Genomic DNA, 25,660 nt, shown 5'->3' on the forward strand with positions numbered 1-25,660 from the left:
GAGTTTGAGACCAGCCTGGGCAACAGAGTAAGACCCCCATCTCTATAAAGAAAACAAAACCAAAATAAAGCAAAAAAAAAAAAAAAAAAAAAGGAGAAACAGATTTAAGACAGTCAGGAAAGAAAAATATTGACTTTGATTTTGGTCTTATTGAATCTTAGGTGCTGGCAGGTGAGGACTTTCATGTTGTAATATCCTGAAGACAGTTTCAAATATAGGTTTGGAATGGAGATGAGGACTTCAGAGTTATCGGTAATGAACTCATTTTAAGAAGATGAGATTGCCTAAAGGAAGAATGTTTTGTAGAGTTAGAAGAGTGGGATTTACCTGATGATCTTAGGAATTCTGGACATTTATCTTAAATTGCTCTTTAGGAAGTTTAGTAGAAAAAGAAAGGATGCAGATAGTGTCTGCTATTAAAGGCAGAGGAAGAAAGACCTGAAACAGAGACAGAGAAGAAGGGAGCTTAGGTTATAGGAATAAAAGGGAGAGGATGTCATAGAAACGAAGGGAAATGAGGATTTTGAGAAAGAGATGCAAGTGACTGTGCCCAGTGTTTCCCTAATGACCAAGAGGATAGTTCTGGGTTTTAGCAAGTATGAGTTGGCCATTGGCCTTGGGAAGAATAGTTTCAGCAGAATGGTAGTGGTTGAAGCCAGATCCTCATAGGGGTTAGGGCCAAAAGAAACAGTAGGAATTCTAGGCATTTATCTGAAATTGCTCTTTAGGAAGTTTGGTGGGGAAAGAAAGGATGCAGATAGGGAATCTCAGGCACATAGAGGTTAAGTAACTTGCTCAAGGTCACACAGTAACCTTAAGTAGGCAGGATAAGCTCTGGTTCTGGAGCTGGTGCTCTTCATCATTATTTTAGGCTGTACTCTCCCACCTTTTTTTCTTTGTGGTTGTAGGTGGTTGTAGGCTACTTAAAGAGATACCTATACACCTGCAGTTAAAATCCAAGTAACTCAGTGGAGAGCCTGGTCCTTCGTTATTATGTCTCAGATTGAAGTTTTATATTTTACAGCATGATGAAATTACATATATGATGGTTAGGTTAGGTTGCAAGTCTTGGAATATATGCAGAGGAATAACTTTATTACAATGACTATTTACTTTTTATAAGACAATCCAGCAATGGTAATTTTTCATTAGTGATATAATTGCAAGAGGAAACTTGAGAACAGAAAATGGACATATTGAAATAAGATTAAATACATGCTGATGAAGTTACAGAGTTTTATGCAACGTTTCAATCAAGAAAGCATGATAATAAAGCGTGTATAGGCCGGGCGCGGTGGCTCACGCTTGTAATCCCAGCACTTTGGGAGGCCGAGGCGGGCGGATCACGAGGTCAGGAGATCGAGACCATCCTGGCTAACACGGTGAAAACCCCGTCTCTACTAAAAATACAAAAAAAATTATCCGGGCGTGATGGCGGGCGCCTGTAGTCCCAGCTACTCGGGAGGCTGAGGCAGGAGAATGGCGTGAACCCTGGAGGCGGAGCTTGCAGTGAGCCGAGATTGCGCCACTGCACTCCCGCCTGGGCCACAGAGCGAGACTTCGTCTCAAAAAAAAAAAAAAAAAATAAAAATAAAAAAAATAAAGCGTGTATATTGACTTTCCAGAATCTTGAGAATGGATAAATGGAAACAAAGAGAAATACCTATTTTGTATTATAAACCTCTAAAATAGTTACTAAATAAGTTATTCTTTTAGGTATTTTTCTTTCACTTTTCATCGCTATTAGGCAAAACTGATAGTCGATGTAGCTGTGTCAGTAGCTAAGGGATTTTTGTTGTTGTTGTTAAACTAACATGTCATATCTTGTATAATTCAGCTGTGACTATACAGGGGAAAGTATTTAATGTCTGATGATTATACAGCCTGTGCTTTGGAAACAGCCGAAAGCCAGACAGCGACAGTAGAGGGCAAAGGATTATTAAATGGATAGTCACTGAGGTCACTTATAGTGACTTTACTGCAACACCGTGTGCATCTCCTTTCCCATGGCAGGTTGTTTGATCATGGCTTAATGGCTAAAGCTTTGTAAAATTATAAAAAAAGCCAGAAATCCTGCTGATCTCAAGTGTTATTTACAGTTGGATGCTTGGCAGGAAAGTGCTAAGTCTGATCATACTAATGCTAAGTCAGGCAGAACACGTGGTGAAATCTCATGGAGCTCTATCCTCTGAACCTTGAGAAGACTACCAAAGTATAAGATTTCAGGGTGGAAAGTATGCTGCAATATGATTGAGAGAATTTGGCTTTTTCATCTGAACAGGTGTGGCCAAGTGGAGGAGTTTCTCCTCTTGGAAATGTCAAGGGGTGTATCATTAGGTCCTTGGAGCTAGAATGTAGGTAGAATGGCAAGGAAGGAATTTTAATTAGTTCTGTTATCTTTCTTTTATGGTTTGGAATGGTATTTTCTTTGGTCATCTATTCACTTACAAAATTATGGACAGTATTTGATTGTGAGGAAGAATCTTGGGTAAGTGTTATCTTTGTTTTCAGTAGAATTACTTGGAGCTGGCTCAAGGAAATTATATTAGTAGTTTGCAAGTGAGTTACAGCTAATGGAGTCAAAAGAAGTTTGAAAAGGGTCAAAAGAAGTTAGAATTGTTCCATCTGAGTCTTTGGCCCTTAGTAAAGGATCCAGCATTTTGTTTTGTTTTTGCTTATGTCTTTGATATTAATATATTTTTCAGAATATTATAAACCACCCTTCCCCAAAGTTTTATTTCCGCAATCACTCCCTAATCTTTATTTCTTTTTTGCTTCGCATCATATACATTTTTCTCTTCAGGACACCTTCTTTTCCCTTTTGAAACTTGGACTATGTTCTTAAAATTGACGATTATAGGTAAGAAGACCAAGTTTGTGAGACAAATAGAATTTGATATTCAAATTATCTGAAGAACTGAAGTACATTATTTTGTACTTGTTTTTATTTATTAAAAAAAATTTCCCTTGGAAAAGAAATTGGTGAGATTAAGGAATGCTATAGCTAACTTTGTAGGATATTTGGAAAACTATGAGTTATAGTGAAAGGTGCTGTCTTAGGGAGTACATTTTAAAAGTGCTAGAAAATATAATATTACAGCTTGAATCAAGAGAAGTGAACTCTGCTAGGGACTAAGTACTTTGTTAGAAAGGTGCTCATAATAGAATGGCGTGAACGCGGGAGACGGAGCTTTCAGTGAGCCGAGAGCGAGACTCCGTCTCAAAACAAACAAACAAACAAACAAACAAAAATAAAATAGAAAGGTGCTCATAATAAAATGAGAAATAAAAAAAATTCTAACTGATCAAATGGGACAAAACCCAGATTCACGGTCTTTATATGCAAATAAAGTATAGATTCTTAGATTCAGAACAGTAAAAGAAAAATACCTAGAAAACAATAAACAAAAGGCATGAACAGGCATTTCACAAAAGAGCTACTGCAAAGTCACAAACATATTAAAAGTTACTCATCCTAACTAACAATCAAATAAATGTAAATTAGAGCAAGCAAACTTGTTTTTCCATTTATGAACTTGCCAAAGATTTAAAAGTTTGATAATAATGAATGTTTGAGTATATGAAGAACTGGGTATTATTTGTTGATGGACATGTACCATAGCATTTTTCTGGAGCGTAATTTCACAATGTGAATCAGAAGTCTTAATAGTGCATACGTTTTGACCTAGTGAATCTCCTGCTAAGACTTTTTATCCTAAAGAAGTCATCTGTGCCTTCTTGTCAAGATGGTACTGTAAGCTCACAGTTTGTACATACCTTCTGCTCTAAATTCATAGGAATGGCAGATATAATGCATTAAAAGAATTAAAGAAAAAAGTCGTAGCTGGGCTTACAGACAAGATAGTGTTGTAGACCCGAAAGCTAACTAAACATAAAGGGCTAGTAAGCTGGATTGAAGCGATGGTGCTGCAGAGGCTCTGGATGGAGAAACAGAAAGCTAGATTTAGCTCCCATAGAGTGCTAGGACTGAAAGTTTACCACTTGAAATGGGACCATAACTAAGCTCACTGCTTAAAGCCAGGGGCAGGGATGAAGTTGTCAATCCTATAAAAGGAAACTAAATAAAGGCTCCACATGGAGGCTCCAGTTTATATGGAGCTGTGGGTCTTGAGGGGCAGGAGGAGATAGATTCAATTTCAAGAATAGCAACTGAATCAGGCTGACTGTGAGGAGACAATAATGAGAAAATGTGGTGTTCCATGTTACAATTATGAGGTTTGGTCCTGGACAGTAGCACAGGGATCCTGGTGGAGGCAGCTGCAGAAACACTATGGAGGGAAAGGTGAGCACAGGTGGAGAGAAAGGGGAGTAAGAGAAGCAAAGAAGAAAAGCCTTTCACTTAGAATTAGCCTTCAAAATGCAATACCAAAATACTGGAAGAAAATAAATACCAAGAAAGATAGCTAACAAAATCAACAATGAGAACAAAAATTTATCCCAGATGAGATGAATTTTTACAGAAAAGTCAGTCAAAAATTAAAAGAATCATGTTCAGAATACTCAAGGGGATAAATAAAGGCATTACATTGATGAAAAATGATGTTTAAAAATACTCCCAAGATATGCAGAAATGGAAGAGGAACAACGACATGAAAAAGAACCAGTTACAAATTTTGGAAATGAAAAATATGGTCATAGAAATAATAAACTTAATAGAGGGGATGGACTTTAGACCTCACACAATTAAAAAGAGAATTGATGAATTAGAAGAGAATACTAAGGAATTCATTCAGAATGTATCATAAAGAGACAAAAGATTTTTTAAAAGGCATTTAGGAGATTTGAAGGATAGATGGAGTTCCAACATATGTCTAATAAGAGAACACAGCCTTGAACTTTTGGCCTCAAGTGATCTTCCTGCCTCAGCCTCCTGAGTAGCTGGGACTACAGGCACATGACACCAGACCCTGCTAATACATTTGTGTGTGTGTGTGTGTGCGTGCGTGTGTGTGTGTGTAGAGACCAGATTCTCGCGATGTTGCCCAGGCTGGTCTCAAACTCCTAGGCTCAAGCCATCCACCTGAGGTCTCAGCCTCCCACAAGTGTTGGGATTACAGGCATGAGCCTCTATACCTGGCCAAGAAGCAAAATGTAAAGAGCCAAGAATTGAGAATTTTCCTATTTAAAGAATGATGAGTTTAGATATATTGAGTAGTATCATCATGTTGACGTTGTAGAATTTAAGGGATATAGAGGAAAAAACATTTTTGAGATACAAAACAAAAAAATGCCAATTACCTACGAAAGAAAGATTAGCAACAATAGATGCTAGAAGACAGGAGAATAATATACTAATATATTCAAAATGCTAAGGGGAAGTTATAGTTAATTTTGATTTTTAAACCCAGTTAGTCTTTGATTCAAAAGTGAAGGAAAAATACAGATACTTTCAGATATAAAGAAAGACCAAGAGAGTTACCATCCATGGAATCTCACCAGGGAAACTGTTAAATGCTGCTCTTTAGCAAGAAGAAAAGTGAAACCAGAAGTAAGGTTTTGTTTTTTTTCTTTCTTTCTTTCTTTTTTTTTTTTTTTTGGAGACGGAGTCTCACTCTGTTGTGTAGGCTGGAGTGCAATGGCGCAATGCTGACTGCAACCTCCGCCTCCCAGGTTCAAGTGATTCTCCTGCCTCAGCCTCCCGAGTAGCTGGGATTACAGACATGTGCCACCATGCCCAGCTAATTTTGAATTTTTAGTAGAGATGGGGTTTTGCAATGTCGGCCAGGCTAATCTGGAACTCCTGACCTCAGGTGATCGGCCCGCATTGGCCTCCCAAAGTGCCGGGACTGTAGGAGCGAGCCACTGCTCCTGGCCTAGTTTTTAATTAAAACAAGTGAACAAACAAAGGTGGGCATAGAGATTGATAAAGTGTATTGGAAAATTCACTAAGTTATTGGTTTAAATACTACTTTTTGTTCTAAAATGAATATAAAGCTAAAACTCTGGAGAATGATGAGAATGTAAGAAGGGAGAAGTAAATTATGTGTGATCCAATATTAGGGACACAAAAAGGGACATACTACATGAATTACTAATATCTAAGAAAATATGATACATTTGAGAACTTAGATGAAGTTGATACATACCTAGAAAGATAGGCATTACTTAAATTGCTTCAAGAAGTAGAAAATCTGAATAAAACAATGAACGAAATTGAATGATAATGAAAAGTCCATCTGTCAAATGACAGCAGGCCCAGTTTTATAGGCACGTTAAACCAAATTTAAGTAATCCTTACTTACTCTTCTTCCCTTTTTAAAGAGTTTTATTGGGGTATAATTGATATAGAATAAACTGCACATATTTAAAGTTTTGACATACGTATATACTGGTTAAACCACCAAAATCAAGATTAGGAGACATGTTCATTATCACTCCTAATTTGTGTCCCTCAGAAATCCTTTTCTCCTTCTCTCCCCTAGTGGTTCTGGGCAGCTACTAATCTGCTTTCTGTCACTATTGACTAGTTGGCATTTTCTCGAATTTTGCATAAATGGAATCAATCAAACAGTATGTGCTTTTGCACTCGCTCTCTCTTTCTCTCTCCCTTTTAAAAAATAGATTCTGGTTTTTTAGAGTAGGTTTAGGTTCTGGCAAAATTGTGAGACAGGCACAGAGATTTCCCATATACTCCCTACCTCCACACATGCTCTGTTACACACACTCCACTATTATCAATATCTGCCATTAGAGTGGTACATCTGCTACACATCATTATCACCTAATGTCCATAAGTTTAATAAACCATTAGGGTTTACTTTTGGTGGTATATATTGTTGCTTGGGACAAATGTATAGTGACATGTACTTACCACTGTGTTATAGTATCACACAAAGCAGTTTCACTGCCCTAAAGATTCTCTGCACTGTGTGCTCTTTTTTGGAGGTTTAGGGGGAGGCCTGTCTTCCGTCACTCAGCATTGTGATTTTGAGATCCATCATGTTGTTGTATGCTTCACTAATTCATTCCTTTTTATTGCTGATTGGTGAGTTATTATATGGATATACCATAATTTCTTTTTCTTTTTTTCAATATACTGCGATTTCTTTATCTGTGCACTTGTTGATGGACATTTGGGTTGTTTCCAGTTTTGGGTAATTACAAATGAAGCTGCTGTGAACATTCATGTGCAGATTTTTATGTAGACATGTGCAATCATGTTGTAGGTGTTTAATATATATATTTTTATGAAAGTTCCAGATTGTCTTCCAAAGTAGTTGACCATTTTGTTTTCATGAGAGCAGTGTATAAGAGTTCTAGTTTTGAGAGCAGATTTTCTTAAATTTCATGAAGTTTATCCTTTTTTTCTTTTATGGATTTTACTTCTGGGTTCATTTCTCTGAAATCTCTGCCTTGTGTAACTTAAATACTAAAAGAGTTTCGTATGTTTTCTAATACTAGTTTTATAGTTTTAAGGTTTTATATTAGGTTTTATATTGATGTATTTATTAATTTTGAGATATTTTTGTGTATGCACAAGGTGTGGATTGGAGTTCTTTAAAAGATATAGATATCTAATTCTTCAAGTACTATTTGTTAGGACTCTTCTTTCTCCATTTGAATCTTTGTCAAAAATCAATGAAACATAAATATCTGGGTCTATTGTGGACCTCTATTTTGTTCCATTTATCTGTTTGTTTAGTATTATATCAATACAGCACTGTCTTGATTTCTGTAGTTTTATACTAAGTCTTGAAGTTAGGTAGTGAAGTCCTTCAACTTTATTTTACTTTTTCAAAGATGTTTTGTCACTTTAAGTCTTTGCGTTTCTAAGTGAATTTTAGAAATAGAATGTCAATTTTTACAAAAAAAACCTGCAGGGATCTTAGTTTGAGATTGCATCAATTTGGGGACAGTGAAATATTTTATCGAGTCTTCCAGTCCACTAACATGGCATATCTCTTTGTTTAATTTCGGTAGTGTTTTTTAAATTTTCTTTGTATAAGTGTGGAAAACCTTTTGTCCAGTTTATCTCTGAGTACTTTATAATTTTTGTTAAGGTACATGGTATTTAAAAAAACTTCAATTTCAGATTGTTGGTTGCTAGCATATAAAAATAATTTTTGTATATTGATATTGCAGTGTAGCTAAACTTATTTATTAGCTCTAATAGCTGTTTTGCAAATTCTGTAGAATTTTCTACATAGATGCTTATGTCGTATTTAAATAATGACATTTTTACCTTTTAAAAATTTATTCTCAATCCGGATACTTTTCACTTCTTTTTCTTGCCTTGTTGCACGGGCTAGAACCTTCAGTACAATCTGGCATAGAGGGGGTGATGGGAAACATCCTTGGCTTTTTTCCTCATTTTAGGGTAAAATCATTCACTCTTTTACCACTAGGTAGGGTTTCATTGATTCCTTTATTAAGATGAAGAAATTCCGTAGTTTACCGAGTGTGTTTATCAGGGTCATTGTTGGGTATTGTCTAATGCTCTTACATCTATTCAGGTGACCCTCTAGTTTTTCTTTCTTAGCCTGATAATATGATGGATTTATGTAGATTTTTGAATGTTAAACCAACCTGGCGTTCTGGGGGTAACACTTGGTTATTATATATTGTCCTTTTTATGTGTTGTTGGATTCAGTCTGCTAACATTTTGTTAATACTTTTTACATTTATATGCATGAGGGATATTGGTCTGTAGTTTTCTTGTAATATTTCTGCTTGCCTTTGGGATTGAAAGCCATTAATTTTCTGGATTAATTTATGTAGAATTATTATTATTTCTTTCTTAAATGCTTTGTAGACTTTATCAGTGAAGGCTTTGGATTTGGAGTTTTGTTTGTGGGAAGTTTTTGAAATACAAATTCAATTTCATTAATAGATATAGGACTATCTATGTCTACTAAAAAGGGGCTATCCTTTTCTTTTTCTTTTTTTTCTTTGAGAGCAAGGCCTATGTCTTGATCACCATTTTGTTCCAAGCATATCCCTGGCATATAGTGGGTCAGGAGTAAATGTTTGGTGAATGGATGAATGAATGAGGCAAACTCAGGGAGAGGAAGTGGGGACTGTGTCTGTTCTTGGCCCAGTGTGGGGTTGTTTGTGGATGACATCTCATTCTCATCCTGTAGTAGAGGGATAACACAAAAGTATGGAGTCTCAGGGCTCCAGAGTCCTCATCCTCTGAGCTACATCTCCTACTTAGCCGAGGTCTTTTCACTCTCTGGGCAAGTCTCCTCACTTTGCTGAAATGGCAGCGTTCCTGGTACATGCCCGGTTTAGCCTAGGCTAACCTCTTCTTGAGTGAACCTAGGTAATTTGTGTCTTTCAAGGAATTTGTCTATTTTATCTAAGTTCTAGAATTTATTAGCATAAAGTTTATAACATCCCCTTATTATCCTTTTAATTGGTATGTTGAAACTTCTGTGTGTATTTTTAAATCATTCTGGCTAGGGATTTTAAATTTTCTTTTCTCAAAGAACTAGCTTTTGGCTTCATTTTTTTTTAACTTTTCTGTTTTCTATTTCATTGATTTCTGTTGTGGTCTTTTATTATTTTCTCCTGTGTATTGTATTTGTTCTTCTTTTTCGAGTTTCTCCAAGTGGAAGCTAAGGTAATTGATTTGTGACCATTTTTCTTTTTTATTATAGGCATTCAGTGCCATAAATTTCCCTCAGTTTACTAGTTTAGGTGCATCCTACAAATTTTGAAATTTGTATTTTCATTTTTGTTCAACTTAAAATACTTTCTCATTTCTCGATTGTTTTCTTCTTTGACTCATGTATTATTTAGGAATCAATTATTTAGTTTTCAAATATTTGGGGATTTTCTAGATGTATATCTGTTATTATTTTAAGTTTAACTCCATTTTATCACAGAATATATTTTTTATGATTTCAATCCTTATAAATGTATTGAGACCCAGAGATGGTCTGTCTTAGCAAATATTGTATGTGTATTTGAAACAAATGTCTATTTTGCTGTTGTTTGGTGGAGTGCTATCTACATGTCAGTTAGTTCAAGCTGGTTGATGGTGTTGTTCAAATCTCTTATGGTGCTTTTGTCTACTTGTTCTACCAGTTATTAAGACAAGGATATTGAAATCTTAGACTATTAATTATGGAATTACCTATTTCTTTTTGTTCTTTCAGTTTTTGCTGCATGTTTGAAGACCTGTTATTAGGTGTATATATGTTTAAGATTTTTATGTTCTTGATGATTTGACTCCTTTATCATTATGAAATGACTTTTTCTCTTGTAATATTTTTTGTTCTGAATTCCATTTTGTCTGATATCAATATAGCCACTTCAACTTTCTTTTAATTAGTATTACTGGGTAAATTTTTTTCCAACTTTTTACTTCTTTACAAATCTTTTTTTATTGCAGTAGAATGTACATAACATATAATTTATCATTTTAACCATTTTAAAGTATACACTTATGTGGCATTAAATACAATTTCACAATGTCTTGTCCATCCTTTTACTTTAAATCAATTTGTTTCTTTACATTTGAAGAATATTTTTTATAGGCAACCTATGGTTGCATACTGCTTTTAAAAAAATCCAATTTGACAGTTTCTCCCCTTTAATTGGGTTATTTAGATCATTTACAGTTATTGTGATTGTTTCTATGGTTGGATTTAATTCTACCACTTTTGTCTATTCTTTGATCCCTTTTTTTCTTGATTTCTGCCTTTTTTGGATTTTTTTATAATTCCATTTTATCTCTTTTGTTGGCTTATTACTTGTAATTTTTTGGTTTTTTTTTTATGTTGGTTTTAGGGTTTCTGGTATCCATCTTTATCGTATCGGAATCTTTCTTGAAGTATTACTGTGCTTCACATGTAGCATAAAAATTTTTACCACAATATACTTTTCATATCTCTTTGGCCATTGTGATGTTGCTATCATACATTTTATTTCTACATATGTTATGAATCCCAGAATGTACTACTCTTGTTTTTGCTTTAGTCAATTATCTTTTATAAAGACTTAGTGAGAAGTCTTTTATATTTCCCATATAGTTACCATTTCTGATACTCTTCATTCTCTTAAGTATTCAGATTTTTATCTATTGTCCTTTTCTTTCCACCTGAAGATCTTCCATTATCAGTTCTTATCTTGAAGATCTGCTGGTGTTGAATTCTTTCTGCTTTTGTGTGTCTGAAAAAATATTTATTTCTCCTTTATTGTTGAAATACATTATAGCATTTCCCCACTGTCTTCTGTCTTCCGGCAACCATTTTTTTTTTTTTTACAATGAGCTATTTGGTGTTATTCTTTTTTTTCTTTTTTTGAAACAGAGTCTGACTCAGTCACCCAGGCTGGAGTGCAGTGGTGTGAACTCGGCTCACTGCAACCTCCACCTCCCAGGTTCAAGTGATTATTGTGCCTCAGCCTCCCCAGTAGCTGGGATTACAGGTGTGCGCCACCACACCCAGCTAATTTTTGTATTTTTAGTATAGACGAGGTTTCGCCATGTTGGCCAGGCTGGTCTTGAACTCCTGGCCTCAAGTTATCCACCCGCCCACCTCGGCCTCCCAAAGTGCTGGGATTACAGGTGTGAGCCACCACACGCAGTCTTATTTGGTTTTATTTTTATAGTTTTTTTGGGTACATAGTACCTTCATCTCTTGCTATCTGTGGGGGATTGGTTCCAGGACCCCTGCAAATATAAAAATTCATGGATTCTCAAGTCACTTATATAAAATGGCATGTCGCATTTGCATATAACCTATGCACATCTTCCTATGTACTTTAAATCATCTTTAGATTACTTATAGTACCTAATACAATATAAATGCTATATAAATAGTTGTTATATTTCATTGTTTAGGGAATAATGATAAGAAAAAAGTCTGCACATGTTTGGTATAGCTGCAACCATCCATTTTTTTTTTCAGCAATATTTTTTATCTGACATTGTTTGAATCCATAAATGGGAAACCCATATATATGGAGGGCCAACTGTATTTTCTTTTGTCTGACTGCTTTTAAGACTTTATCTTTTTCACTGGATTTAAGTAATTCGATTATGTTGCGTTTTAGTGTTATTTCCTCTTGATTTTTGTGATTGAAGTCCTTTGAACATCTTAAATCTGTGGATTGATGGTTTTCATCAAATTTGGAAAATATTTGGCCACTTCTTTTTCTGTCTTCCAATCTCTCTCCTTTCCTTTGGTAACTCCAATTACATGTATTAATCTGCTTAAAATCATCCCATAGCTCACTGATGCTCTGTTAACCTTTTTCTCCTGTCTTTTTCCTCTCTGTATTTCATTTTGGATAATTTGCCTTGCTGTGTCTTCAGGTTCATTATTCTTTTCTTCTATTATAACTAATTTGTGTTGAATTATTATTATCCAGTGTATCTTGCCTCTCAGATATTGTGGATTTACTCTAGAAGCTTGATTTAACGTTATTTCTGTTTCTCTACTTACCATGCTCAATCTTTTCTCAACTTTTTGAACTTGTGAACTATAGCTATACTTACTGTTTCAGTGTACTTGTCTACTCATTTCATCATCTGTTCTGTTTTTGCACCAGTTTCAATTAGTTGATTTTTCTCTTCATTATCAGTCATATTGTCTTGCCTTGTAGTATTCTCTTAGAAACTTCCATGCCTTGTTGCTTTTGATTGGATGACAAACATTGTAAATTTTTAACATTTAAGTGCTGGATTTTGTGCTTGCTGTTCCTTTAAGTAACTCATTTATGTTACTTGGAAACAGTTGAATCTTTTCAGGTGTTGCATTTAATTAGAAAGGAACAGTGTGACATTGAGTCTAGGGCTATCGCACCACTGCTGAGGTGAAGTCCTTCTGAGTGTTCTTCCTGATGTTTTCTAAATTATGACATTTTCTATCCAGGCTAGATTTTTTTGTATGTTGTAGTGTTGGCTCCCATTATTGGAAACAGAACAAGACTTGCTAAGTATTAATTAAAAAGATCTCTTTTGAAAGCCTTGTGGAGCTACCAAAGCAGCCAGGACTTGAGGGTCCAAGAGCAGTGGCTGTAAGTATTGGTTTTAAAAATTTATAAGTAGGATTGATTTTAATTAAAAACTTTTAAAAAAATGTTGTGTATGTTGTTTTTCAGTTAAAAATTAAACAATTCTTAAGAGAGATGATTTCTCTTGCCTCAGGGATGGTGTGGTGTAGTGGGTGTGGCCTTGTACCTGGGAACTAAGAATGTGAGTTGTGATTCTTTCATAAGCAGCAGTATAGTCTCTTGCCAGTCACTTCATAGCTCTGGATGGGCCTTAGTTTCTTTATATGTTCTAAAATTATGCAATTTTGTCATATTAAAAAGTAGGTGATCACCACAACATAGTTAATTGACACATTTTATATATGTAAACTTTTATGGGAAGTTTTTATACATTTCTCCTGTAGATCACTGAGGCTAATTAATATCTGGATTCTTATTAATCCAGTGGCATTAATCTGTGGCCTAAAGTATAATTTGATGTGGTACACATAGATTCCTGTATAAGTAATTTATAACTAGGAAATAAAACTGTCCTTTCCAGACATGAGTAAATAACAACAACGAATGGTTGCCAAAATGTATTGAGGGGCTGTTTATGTGCCAGACACTGTTCTTAGAGCTTTATGTATTAATATCATTTACATCTCACAGGGAGATAAGAAACTAGTTGCAAATCATGCACCTAGACTGGTAGAACTGGCATTGGAATTCAAGAGTTTGGCTCCTTAGGCTATACACACATAACAAAGGAGTTTGCTTTGTTATACAGACCCCTGCCTCACTGTTTGAATGCTATTTGCCTAATATCTGCATAGTTTATAGTTTGCAAAAGGCACTAATATGTATGAATAATTTTATTTTATCATCACAACTCTATGAAACAGTGTCCTTACAGATGAGGAAATTGAGAATGAGCGAGTTTGCTTCCGATGTGGTACCGCATCGAGGAAGTGAAAGAGTCTCCATTCAAAATTCTACTTTCGCCTCCAAATCCAGTTTACTTTTACTGTGCCATATTTTCATGGAGAGGGAAGTTTTTCGTAGGACAAGGAATGCTAAATTTGTTGAAATGGTTGAAATACTTTTTTTCTTCTTATCTAAAGCAAATATGGTATATGTGAAATATTTACACTTTTTTGGTTTAGCTACTTCTTATTGATCTTTTTTTTTTTTTTTTTTGAGAAAGAACCATGCTGTGTCACCATGCAGCGGTGACTCACTGCAACCTCCATCTGCCAGGTTCAAGCGATTCTCTTGCCTCAGCCACCCTAGAAGCTGGAATTACAGGTGTGCGCCACCATGGCCGGCTAATTTTTGTATTTTTGGTAGAGACGGGGTTCCCTTTGATGGCCAGGCTGGTCTTGAACTCCTGGCCTCAAGTGATCCGTCTTCCTTGGCCTCCCATAGTGCTGGGCTTACAGGTGTGAGCCACCGCGCCTGGCTCTTAATGATCTTTCTAGTGTTAGTTTAGATATGTCTTCCTTGCCCACCAAGCACCCTGCTTAAGGACTAGGTCATTTTCCCACTTAAAACCCTCATAAGATCATGCAGTTATTTTCACAATGAACATTCATTAGCCATTATTCATCACTGTATTTTGAAAAGACTCAGGTAACAAAATTAAATTTTTACTGAACCTGACACAATAGGATGCATAGTTGAAGAAGTATTATGTGGAAAATGATAAATGGATAAAGAATAAGTGTCATTAGCAGCATAATCTTGACACGGCTGAAGAGTCAGGAGTGGGATGAAAAATACACTTCATTTGTAGGTGAGATACACCCTTACATGATGAGTCATAATCCACTTAATCTTTTTATGTAATTACTGTAAGACTCTCAAACCATATCTCTATGTGACAAGATATACAAGCTCAGATACAGCTTAACTTTTTCACAGTAAAGCAGAGGCTTAGGGCTGGTGTAGTTTCTGATATCTAACTTTAAACCCTTATGAGTTTGAGTTGTGGTTTTTTTTTTTTTTTTTTTTGAGACAGAGAGTCTTATTCTGTCACACAGGCTGGAGTGCAGTGGCGTGATCTCGGCTCACTGCAACCTCTGCCTCCCAGGCTCAAGTGGATCCTCCTACCTCAGCCTCCTGAGTTGCTGGGACTGCAAGTGCACACCACCACGCCTGGCTAGTTTTTGTATTTTTTCGTAGAGACGGGTTTTTACCATTTTCCCCAAGCTGGTCTCGAACTCCTGAGCTCAGGTGATCGTCCTGCCTCCACCTCCCAAAGTGCTGGGATTACAGGTGTGAGCCACTGCAACTGGCTGTGGTGTGTTTCACATAGGTCTTTTGTCCTCTTTTACTTTGCTAGAGCTGTGGAAATGGGTGGTAGCCTGTGTGCAGGGGTCTTCATCTGCCCCTCCTGCCAGGTAGGAGAGCTGAGGCTTCACGCTCTCTCTGGCTCTCCGTGTGGCATTTGTGAGCAGCTTGATGTATTTGACACAAGTGTGACAGCAAAGAAGTGTGTGAGCAGAGCAGTGTGCTGCAGGGCCCAGCTGTGTGGATTTATCTGTACATCAGGCTGAGGAGCAGCAGTTAGCCAGATCTGACAGTCAAACGTGAGCTCCTTCTACCTGTGCTCCAGAGCGCATTTTAATGTTGTGTGTTTTTACTGTGGTTGGCATTTGACACAAAGAAAATTGTCAGAGCTGTTTTTTTCCTCTCCTCTTTAGTGTGCTAGTCTGCAATAGTTTTCCAAATAAATACTTCATTGTACATGGACAAAAGAAGGCACTTTCTAAAACAATGCCAAAAATCATGTTGTCTTCATCTTTATACTGAATTTCATGTGAGGAATTAGTAGGTTAGATGTTTGAATTGGTAATAGGTAAGACGTTTACATAGTGCAAAAATCAAAACAATATAAAATGGAATATTTTGAGTAGTCTTGGCTCTGCCTTGCTCCTTTCTAGTCATTTCCCACCTCTATTGACAGATAATCACTTTAATAGTCTGTCATTTATCCTTTGTGTTTCTGTATGCAAATACAAGCAGAGTTTTGTGCCTTGCTTTTTACTTCCCAATATCTTCTGGAGAGCTTTTTAGTTCATAAACAGAGAGCGTCCTTGTTTTTGTTTACTGTTGCTTTATACTTCATCATGTGGATGTCCTGTAGTTTATTCCACTGTCCCCTGTGGCTGGAGATTTGCATTGTTTCTAATCTTATTGTTTTATTGAGATAATAATTTCCATATCATAAAATTCACCATTTTAAAGTGTACAGTTCAGTGGTTTTTAGTGTGATTCCAAGCTTTTTTTCTACAAGTAATGATGTAATGAGTATCCTCATGCATATATTCTTCTGAACATGGTACAAGTGTATTAGAAGGATAAATCAGAAGTAGGATCACTGGCTCACATGGGAAATGCATTTGAATTTTGAAAGGAGTTGACTGGTTACCCTCTCTAAGTATGGTTTTGTTTTGCCCTCCTGACAGCAGAGAATGAAAGGGCCTGTTTCTCTTAGTCTTGCCCATAGTGACCTCGCTTTTCATAAAGCAATCTTAATATTTGTTTTTTTATAAAGCAGTTAAGAATTTTTAATTTTGATGTTTATGAGCTACCAATTTACTATTGATATCTGATTGATTTCACCGATGTAAGCATGACCAAAACTTCTCTTTATGTTTGTAAATATTGTTATTTAATACTTGATCTTGTCAGTTACTTCGTAAAATTGCAAGTACTGAGTGTTGGTGTTCAGAGCAGATTTTTATCTGTAGGGTCTTAAGCTGGATGATTTTCTGGTCCCCATTCTCTGCTGTCATGTAGATACAACAGTACTCACAGGATTAAAATGAAAATTCCTAGTGGAAGATCAATTATATGCTGCTTGCTCTAGAGTAGGAAAAATCTTGTCAAATTTTATCCTTTTGATACAGCCTTATAAGTTACAATGTTTTATACCTGTCTGATGCTCAGTTCCGAAATGAACTGAGAAGTGGTGGTTGTTACAAGAATTTAGCTGAAGCATTAATTATAAGCAGAGGTTCAGCCTACATTGGCACTTGTCGACCTATGGGACAGGTCTGTTGCTGTTTCATCTGATTTAGGTGGAGTATGTAATTACTTTTGGGAATCCATGCTTTTGTGCTCCTCTTTATATGTAGATTAGCTTTACTGATGGACTCTCATGAAGAGATCTTAAGGTGGTGTTTGCAAGGTGGAGACATTTCAAGGTTTGAGAAATGTGTGTTTGAATTATTCAAGGCTTACCTTTTTTGGCATTTATAAATATTCTGGCACTTTGTGTCTATAAAAAAGACTAAGAATTGATAAAATATTCATAGGAAAATGGAGGCTTTTCTGAGCTTGAAGTAAAAATTGAGGTATAGATTTTGATTAAATTTATGATGGAGTGGAGAAATGTACAAGTATGGCATGGAAATATCATTGGTTCTTTCTATGGCCCAAATAATAGTTAATACTGAAAAATAGATAAATCAATTAACCAATAGTGAATTATCCAAACTGGTTTGTCGATTATCTGTAATGGTGTGTGTTACATTAGTATTATAACTATAAAAGTATCATAATTTAGGCCAGGTATGGTAGCTCACTTCTGTAATCCCAGCACTTTGGGAGGCCAAGGCGGGCAGATCATTTGAGGCCAAGGCGGGCAGATCATTTGAGCCCAGGGGTTTGAGACCAGCCTGGGGAACATACTGAGGCCTCATCTCTACAAAAAAAGTAAAACAAAACTAGCCAGGCATGGTGGCATTGCACCTTTAGTCCCAGCTACTTGCGAGGCTGAGTTGGGAGAATCATCTGAGCCCAGGAAGTCAAGGCTGCAGTGAGCTGTGATTGGGCCACTACACTTCAGCCTGTGGGACAGAATGAAACCCTGTCTCCAAAAAAAAAAAAAATTTCTTTGTTTAACTGGTAAGTCAACCTTTTCGTTGTAAATGAGAAAACACCTATAGTCAAAACAAAGGCTTTGACTAAATAAATATAATAGAATTATGCCTAAGAGTAGAATTTGGTTTTGTGTCTCTCAGGGTCAATTGGTTGCTATACTTCTATTCCCTTTCTCTTTCCTCACTTTTAGGTAATGATACAAAAAAGGTCCAGAAAGAATTTGTGTTTTACCCAAAAGGAAGTTTCCTCTGACTACTCTGATTGTGATGGGTTTGTGAGAGAAGGCTGCTATTTGGGGTGGGAGAGGGTAGTATGCAGGGCTGCCACATCTGGTTAAGTAGGTTGTGCACTTTATAAAGACATTGGGCATTGGAGCAGGTGGAGCCTGAAATCCAGTTTGTGTTTACCAAGCTATATTCTTATTGAGTGGGACTATATCGGCCCAGAGCAAAGTGTACCGTTATCTAATTTTTATAAATGTGACTTACTGGCTGACAGTAGCTTTGGTGATGCATTTAATTGCATTTTTATTTGAAACCCAGTTGTTTCTGCTGTTTTTGCTTTCTTTCTTACAGATAATGTCTGTTGTATGTACCTGTCTATGTGTATATGTGTCTGTGAGTGTATATGCACATTTATGCCTTTTATATGCCACGTACACACGAAAACTCCATATATTCTTGAATGTAAGGTCAGATATTCTTTGAAAAATATCCCTCAGAAGGACGGAGGTGCCCTATATGTATCTGATTTCTTATAAGATACTTTATAATATGAGATCGTCTTTCAGTTACTTTGTTTGAATAGCACAGTACTGTTTGGGGAAAACATAGTCTCTTGAAACAGCCTCAGACAATGCTGGCTTTGAGTGCTTAAAAAGGCTGCTTCATGGAATTGGAAAAGAGAAGAAACAAAGATGTTTAACACAGATTTATTAATTATTGTAGAGATGATAGATCACTCTAAAAAAGCAATACCGTAAGTGGATATGATCTCAAATAAATGTTTACAAGATGAATAACTCTTCCACATATGCTGACATTATGCAAATGGATACTTGTGGCTTGGTTTGGTATTTCCAGTGATAGTACCATAAAAGGATTTACAAGCTACTATGTCTCAAGCAGATTATACAGACAGGCGTTTGCTCTGGAAAACTGTGTTGGATGAGTTGTAAGCTGACTCTAGTGATGAAAAAGACCCGGTTGTCAACAATACATGTGAAGAGTGAATCAAATTGTCTCATGAAATGTGAGAGTGAATAAAATTATTTCTAAATTTATGCTTCATACCGTGTGTAATTTAGTATATATGTAATTGACTGGGTGCCATGACTCATGCCTGTAATCCCAGCACTGTAGGAGGCCAAGGTGGGAGGATTGCTTGAGGCCAGAAGTTTGAGACCAGCCTGGGCAACATAGCGAGACCTTGTCCCTACTAAAAATAAAGACAATTATCCAAGCATGGTGGCACCGCTGTAGTCCCAGCTACTTGGGAGGATGAGATGGGAGGATCACTTGAGCCCAGGAGTTTGATGTTATAGTGAGTTGTGATCACACCACTGTATTCCAGCCAAGGTGACAGAGCGAGACTCTGTCTCTAAAAGAAAAGAAAAAAAAAGATGTATGTAATTTAATTAATATATTTTATAATTGAGATTTGACTAATTTCTATCTCTAAAAGATTATAAATTCAAAGTTGGCTAAAATTTGTTTGTATTCTCTTATTGGAAAAATAAGAGAGTGTCTTACTTTGGGTTATTGCATATTCACTTATATGTAATTATTATTTTCAAACAGAAACTGAGGCTTCTTGAAGAGCTTGAAGACACTTGGCTCCCTTATCTGACCCCCAAAGATGATGAATTCTATCAGCAGGTAAGGTATTTTAATATTTTTATCAGTTTCAGTGATGTGTTCTGATCAACCTTATTTTACCTATGAGGAAGCTGGGCTAGAGAGGTTAAATGACAGGTGAAAAGGTCAAATTAGATCACCCATGACTTCTCATGGCCTACAGAGCATGTACATTTCTTCAGAATCGGCTTTTTGCTGTGAATTTAATGCTTTAGCATAGTGACTGTTTTTATTTCCTCGGACATTCCACACTTCCTTGCCTCTGCTCATGCTGTTTCTTCTGCCTAGCTCCTCCTCCTTCCTTTTGCTCCTTATCCTGTTGCAGATGGCTAATTCTTCAAGAGTTCAGTTAAACATCACCTCCTTTGTGAACATTTTCCCAGCTTACCCTACCTACAAGTCAAGTTGATTGCACTCCCGGTAAATAACTCTATACCACCTAGCACATGGTATTGCAATTACAGAATTCCGTGTCTCTGTCTCTGAATTAGACACCACTGTTTCAATTACAAATGACAAAAACCCAAATCAAACTCACAGTGGCAAAAAATAAGGGGAATTTATTGACTTGCCTTAGAAGTCTAGGAGTACATGGCTAAATCCAACTTTACAAAAGATGTCACCCGATCACTGTTTTTTCCTATTTTTCTTGGCTTAGCTTTCCTCAGTGTGATCTCATGCTCAATAGGCTCTCATCTGAGAGCATAGCAGGACTCTGACAGCCCAAGGGGTATGTGGCCTTTGGCATCTGGGATCTTAGAAAAAGTTAGTGAGTTCTTTTTCCCTGGTTCCATCAAATTATCCAGGAAGTAATCCTGTTGGCCTGGTTGGAGTCATGTGCTTATTACTGAACTAGTCATCATGTTCAGGAGAGTCAAATGCTCCTGTTTGCCCAGCCTAGTTCATGCACCTACTCTTGGAGTGGGGTTGGAGTGAGAGTACTCCCACCAAACTGTATGCACTATGTGAGTTAGACATGGGTGGCTCTCCCAAAGGAAAATCAGAGTCCTGTTTCCAAAGAAGGAAGAGTAGGCCCTCTGGGCATGTAAAAATAATAAATTTTCACCTCTTTTTTCCTACTACAATGTGAAGTCTTGAAGCAGAGGGTTGCCGTGAAAATCAGAATAGGAATTAGGTCACAGCATCTTTGTATCTCTAGCACCTGCATGTACATAGCTGACCATCAGTAACCAAGGAAGGAAGAGAGGAAGGAAGGACTTTACCCATCTAGAATCCAGGTCAATATGATTTCTGTGACTTCTAGCTCAATATTATTTCTAGGCCACTGTCTCTTATCTCCATTCCCATTTGATCTGCACCATCTTTCCTCTTCACTGTCAGTCCTCTTATAGGTCTGTCTAGTTTTCCTCTTTGCCCCCCTTCATCCTTGAAGCTATAGTATTTTCTAACCAAGATGTAAATCTGAGCATGGCAACCCTCTGCTTCAAATCCCACATCATTGACTGGCTCCTACATTTTCAGCCTCATCTCCCCTGCTCTTACACCTTTTATCCACACTGGATTTTTGCAGTACTTTAAATTTGCTATGAGTTTCATCTTTGGGGCCTTCTTGCTACGTCCTCTGCTGACGTACCTCCTTCTCTTTATCTGTCTCTTCTTTTTTTTTATTTTTTGACAGAGGATCTCACTCTGTCACCCAGACTGGAATGCAGTGGTGTAATCTGGATTCACTGCAACCTCTGCCCCCTGGGCCCATGCGATTCTCCCACCTCAGCCTCCCAAGTAGCTGAGACCACTGGCATGTGCCACCACGCCTGGCTAATTTTTTGTATTTTTGTAGAGACAGGGTTTCACCATGCTGCCCAGACTGGTCTTGAACTCCTGAGCTCAAGCGATCCACACACCTTGGGCTCACAAAGTGCTGGGGTTACAGGCATGACCCACCATGCCCAGCCTGTCTCTTGTTTCCTTGGTGAACTTCTGTGTTACCTGTTAGTAACAGCTCATATGTCATCTCCTGTAGGAAGCTTCCCTGACACCTCTACAACCAGAGAGTTGTCTCTGCTTCCTCTCATACTTTATCTATACCTTTATCAGCACTTAATCTCACTTAATTTTTTTTTTTTTTTGAGATAGAGTCTAGCTGTGTTGTGTGCAGGCTGGAGTGCAGTGGCGCGATCTGAGCTCACTGCACCCTCTGCCTCCTGGGTTCAAGCAAGTGCATCTGGCTAATTTTTATATTTTTAGTAGAGACATGGTTTCACCATGTTGGCCAGGCTGGTCTCGAACTCCTGACCTCAAGTGATTTGGCGTCCCAAAGTGCTAGGATTACAGGCATGAGCCATCACATCTGGCATTAATCTCACTTAATTGTAATGAATTTTTGTGTGTGCTGGCTTCCCTTATCCTCTGTACTTCGTTCAGTGCCGGGTACCTATCAGGTGCTGAATGAGTTTGCTTCAATGCATGCACCCAATAGTTAATTTGGAAAACCAGTTATATATAATAATAATGAGTTTAGTATGATTTGAATTTTGCTTCTACACACGTACACACTTCCCCAGGGATTTGGCATCTGGAAAGATTTGACAGATGTGTACAGAAATGTCATACTGCATAGTGATAGGGTGGGTGTTCTCTTTTGAACTTTCCCAGTTTTCCAGATTATCTGCAGTGAAGGTATATTCTTTTGCAATCAGGGAAAAAATAATTTTTAAAAGTACCCTTAAGACAGGTAAACCCACAAAAATGCAATTAGTTCTGAAATGCTTACTAAATTTTCATAGCTATAAGCCTTCTGGTGCATGATTACATGCATTGTCACAAAGCAACTGCCAAGCCATTTCAGCTTTTGTCGTGTGAAAATGGTACAGGAAGAATGAGATACAAAAGGTTATCAGCCCACTGTGCTCTGAACCAGCCATCCACTGAGGGATAAAAGGAAACCCAAATGCAAACAGAACAACTATCAAGACTTCTCTGTTATCTTTCCAAGGCCCGCAACAAACCCTGATACTAATATCTAATCACTCTAAGTGCACCTTGCTGTTTTTCTTTTCTTTTTTTTTTTTTGAGACAGCATCTCACTCTGTTGCCCAGGCTGGAGTGCAGTGGTGCAATATCAGCTCACTGCAACCTCTGCCTCCCAGATTCAAGCGATTCTCCTGCCTCAGCCTCCTGAGTAGCTGGGATTACAGGCACCTGCCACCATGCCTGCCTAATTTTTGTAAGTTTAGTAGAGATGGGGTTTCACCATGTTGGCCAGGCTGGTCTCAAACTCCTGACCTCACATTATCCACCTGCCTCGGCCTCCCAAAGTGCTGGGATTAGAGGTGTGAGCCACTGCGCCTGGCCAAAGTACACCTTCTAGGAAGGCTTAGTACTTCAATAAAACCTTAGTAAAAGTAAACCTCTTCTCTTAAAAGATGAAGTGAAAATACTTTTTAATGACATGAGTAAATAGAAAGTTCAGACCTGACACTGGGTCCCTTAAACAGGCCCTCACCACAGGAATGCCAATCCAGCTGCCAGTCATAAACACAGGAGTCTGTTCAGCTTCCATTTTGGGTCTGTCGATTGATCCTTACAGTGTGCTAGGCTTTGTGCTACATGTTTTATGCATGCTCTCACATGCAATCCCCACAACAGCCTCATTCATTGTATTCAGCAACTACTTTTCTTCAGGCTTGAGGTACTTGAGGTAGGTATTTCTGTTTTAGAAATCAAGAGAGGAACCAGGCACAACTGTAAGTTCCACCTACTTGGGAGGCTGAGGTGGGAGGATCATTTGAGCCCAGGAATTGGAGTTCAGCCTGCCTCTCATAACAAGATTAAAAAAGGAGGAAATCAGGAGAGACTAAGTTAGTTATCTGAGTGGGAGAGCTGGAGTTCAGCCCATATTTGTCTGACTCTGAAGGCCCATGCTCTTTCTGCTGTATTGTCCACCTCTTGGTCTACCATGCTCCAATTCAAAACACCTTCAGAGAAGTTTTGCAGTTTCTTTTAATAGGACCGTAGAGAAAAGCAAAACCAAACCACCAAGGGTCAAAGCAGAAAAGCAGAGAGAACTTCTGTTAGCTCATCATGGAACACAAGGAAACGAGGAATTACATAGTCAGAAAACAAACTCTGACTTCCAGAAATATGAATGCAGCCCCTTTTATCCAAAGAAAATGAGACCATCCTCAGTAACCCCCTTGCTGTCACTGATTGTGTGCTAGCTGTGTGCCAGGTTGTTCTGCTGCTACTTTAAGTGCATTACACGTGTGAGCTCACTGAAATCTTGCTATATGCTTCTGAGACAGGTGTTACTAAAACCCTATTTTAGAGATGAGGAAACCGAGGGACAGAGAGGTTCAAAAATTTGTTTAAGACTTATGTGCAGGATATGTTGGGACTAGGATTTAAGTCTGGGCTGTTGGCTTTTGGGTCTCCACTCTTAAGTCCTATACTGCTTCTCTCTTCCCTTGTGTCTCTTCATCCTTCTGAGATAACTCTGCTCTTGTCTCAAAGGTTCCAGACCTCTGTCCCCATCCCAGCTCTCCCTGTGACCTCCAGCTCTCCACTTCCAACTGCCTACGGAGTGGCTCTACCTGAAAGTCTTCCAGCTACATCTAACTCAACATGATTCATATTCATTAAGTTACTTACTCCATTAAACAAATGGATTTCACTCCCCGACTCTGTGCCAGGTACTGTTTTAGGCATTAGAAATGAAGTTGTGAAAACTGACAAGAGATTCGTGTCTTCTTTGAGCTTATTTCTTGTGGGGCAGGTGATGTAGGAGCAAGCCATGTAGATACTTGTTGGAAGAATGTTCTGGGCCTACAGAACAGCAAAGCCTCAGGTATACTTGACAGGAAAAGCACCCGAGGCCAACATACCTGGAGCAGAGGGAGACAGCTGGTGAGAGCAGGGGAGACGGTCAGAGAGAGAGAGAGAGAGAGAGAGAGGCCCGGTTATACGAGAACTTATAGTCTGTAAGTTCTGTAAGAAGAGCATTGGCGGTTACTCTGAGATGAGGAGGCATGAGAAGGCTTGGAGCAAAGCGTGACAGGATGTCACTTACATTTTAATAAGGATTCTTTCTACAAGGCTCTTCCCATTCAGCCTCTTCTCTAACGGTATCCCCTAGTCCCATTCTTGAGATTAGAAAGCTCACCACCCTCAACTTCTATCCATTGCTTTCTTCCCTCATTTAGTCACTGGGTCCCTGGTGGTTTTACCTCTTTAGAATCTCTCAAATTGTTTTTTCTTTTTCCATCCCACAGACACTGCCTCAACTATGTAGGCCACATTGATCACTTTCTGCCTCCGCAGTTTTAGCATCCTCCTGATTAGCGTTCCTCATGCCCTCCCCAGTGCCATCAGAACTGACTTGTACCTCCTTGTTTTATAAATTTTGTTGAGTCGCCTTTGCTTCCAAGATCAAGTTCAAATTCCTCAGCATATCCACCCTATAAGGCCATTGACTTTCTTGTTTTTTTTTTTTTTTTTTTTTTTTTTTTTTGAGACAGAGTCCCGCTCTGTCACCCAGACTGGAATGTAGTGGTGCGGTCTTGGCTCACTGTAACCTCCGCTTCCCAGGTTCAAGCGATTCTCCTGCCTCAGCCTCCCGAATAGCTGGGACTACAGGCGCGCGTCACCATGCCTGGCCAATTTTTGTATTTTTAGTAGAAACAGGGTTTCGCCTTGTTGGCCAGGCTGGTCTCAAACTCCTGACCTCAAGTGATCCGCCTGCCTCGGCCTCCCAAAGTGCTGGGATTACAGGTGTGAGCCACTGCACCCAGCTGCCATTGACTTTCTGACCCTAAACTACCTCTCTGGTGTAATCTCATCCCATGGCCTAAAATGGCGCCCAATCATAAACTCTCGTCATAGGGAGTTCTTGGTTCCACCCTGACTCTGCTGTGCCCTCTTATCCTTCCTTGCCTTTGTGCCCACTAGTACTCTCTTCCCTTTTCTGTCTGGTGAGCATCTACTCTTAAAGACTTTACTTAAACACTACATGT

At 38.0% G+C, this 25,660-nt stretch overlaps 1 protein-coding gene across 25 annotated transcripts in view; it reads left to right on the plus strand.

Annotated features, from left to right (window-relative positions):
- The window catches only part of FTO (FTO alpha-ketoglutarate dependent dioxygenase), a 417,979-nt gene that overhangs the window by 86,546 nt on the left and 305,773 nt on the right, over window positions 1–25,660 (plus strand). For 23 of the 25 annotated variants that reach the window (XR_007064911.1, NR_156761.2, XM_047434606.1 and 20 more), the window contains exon 2: window positions 19,632–19,709. The exons of 1 other annotated variant lie outside the window; for it this stretch is intronic. Coding sequence is in view for 21 of the 24 variants with exons in the window: in XM_047434606.1 (XP_047290562.1) it covers window positions 19,632–19,709 (78 nt within the window). In the remaining 3 variants the exon portion in view is untranslated. Of the gene's footprint in view, window positions 1–19,631; window positions 19,710–24,161; window positions 24,341–25,660 lie in introns of all 25 variants that reach the window. One more of the 25 variants, NM_001363905.2, reaches the window with a different exon arrangement.

Source organism: Homo sapiens, chromosome 16 (assembly GCF_000001405.40).
Source record: "Homo sapiens chromosome 16, GRCh38.p14 Primary Assembly".
Lineage (NCBI taxonomy): Eukaryota > Metazoa > Chordata > Mammalia > Primates > Hominidae > Homo > Homo sapiens.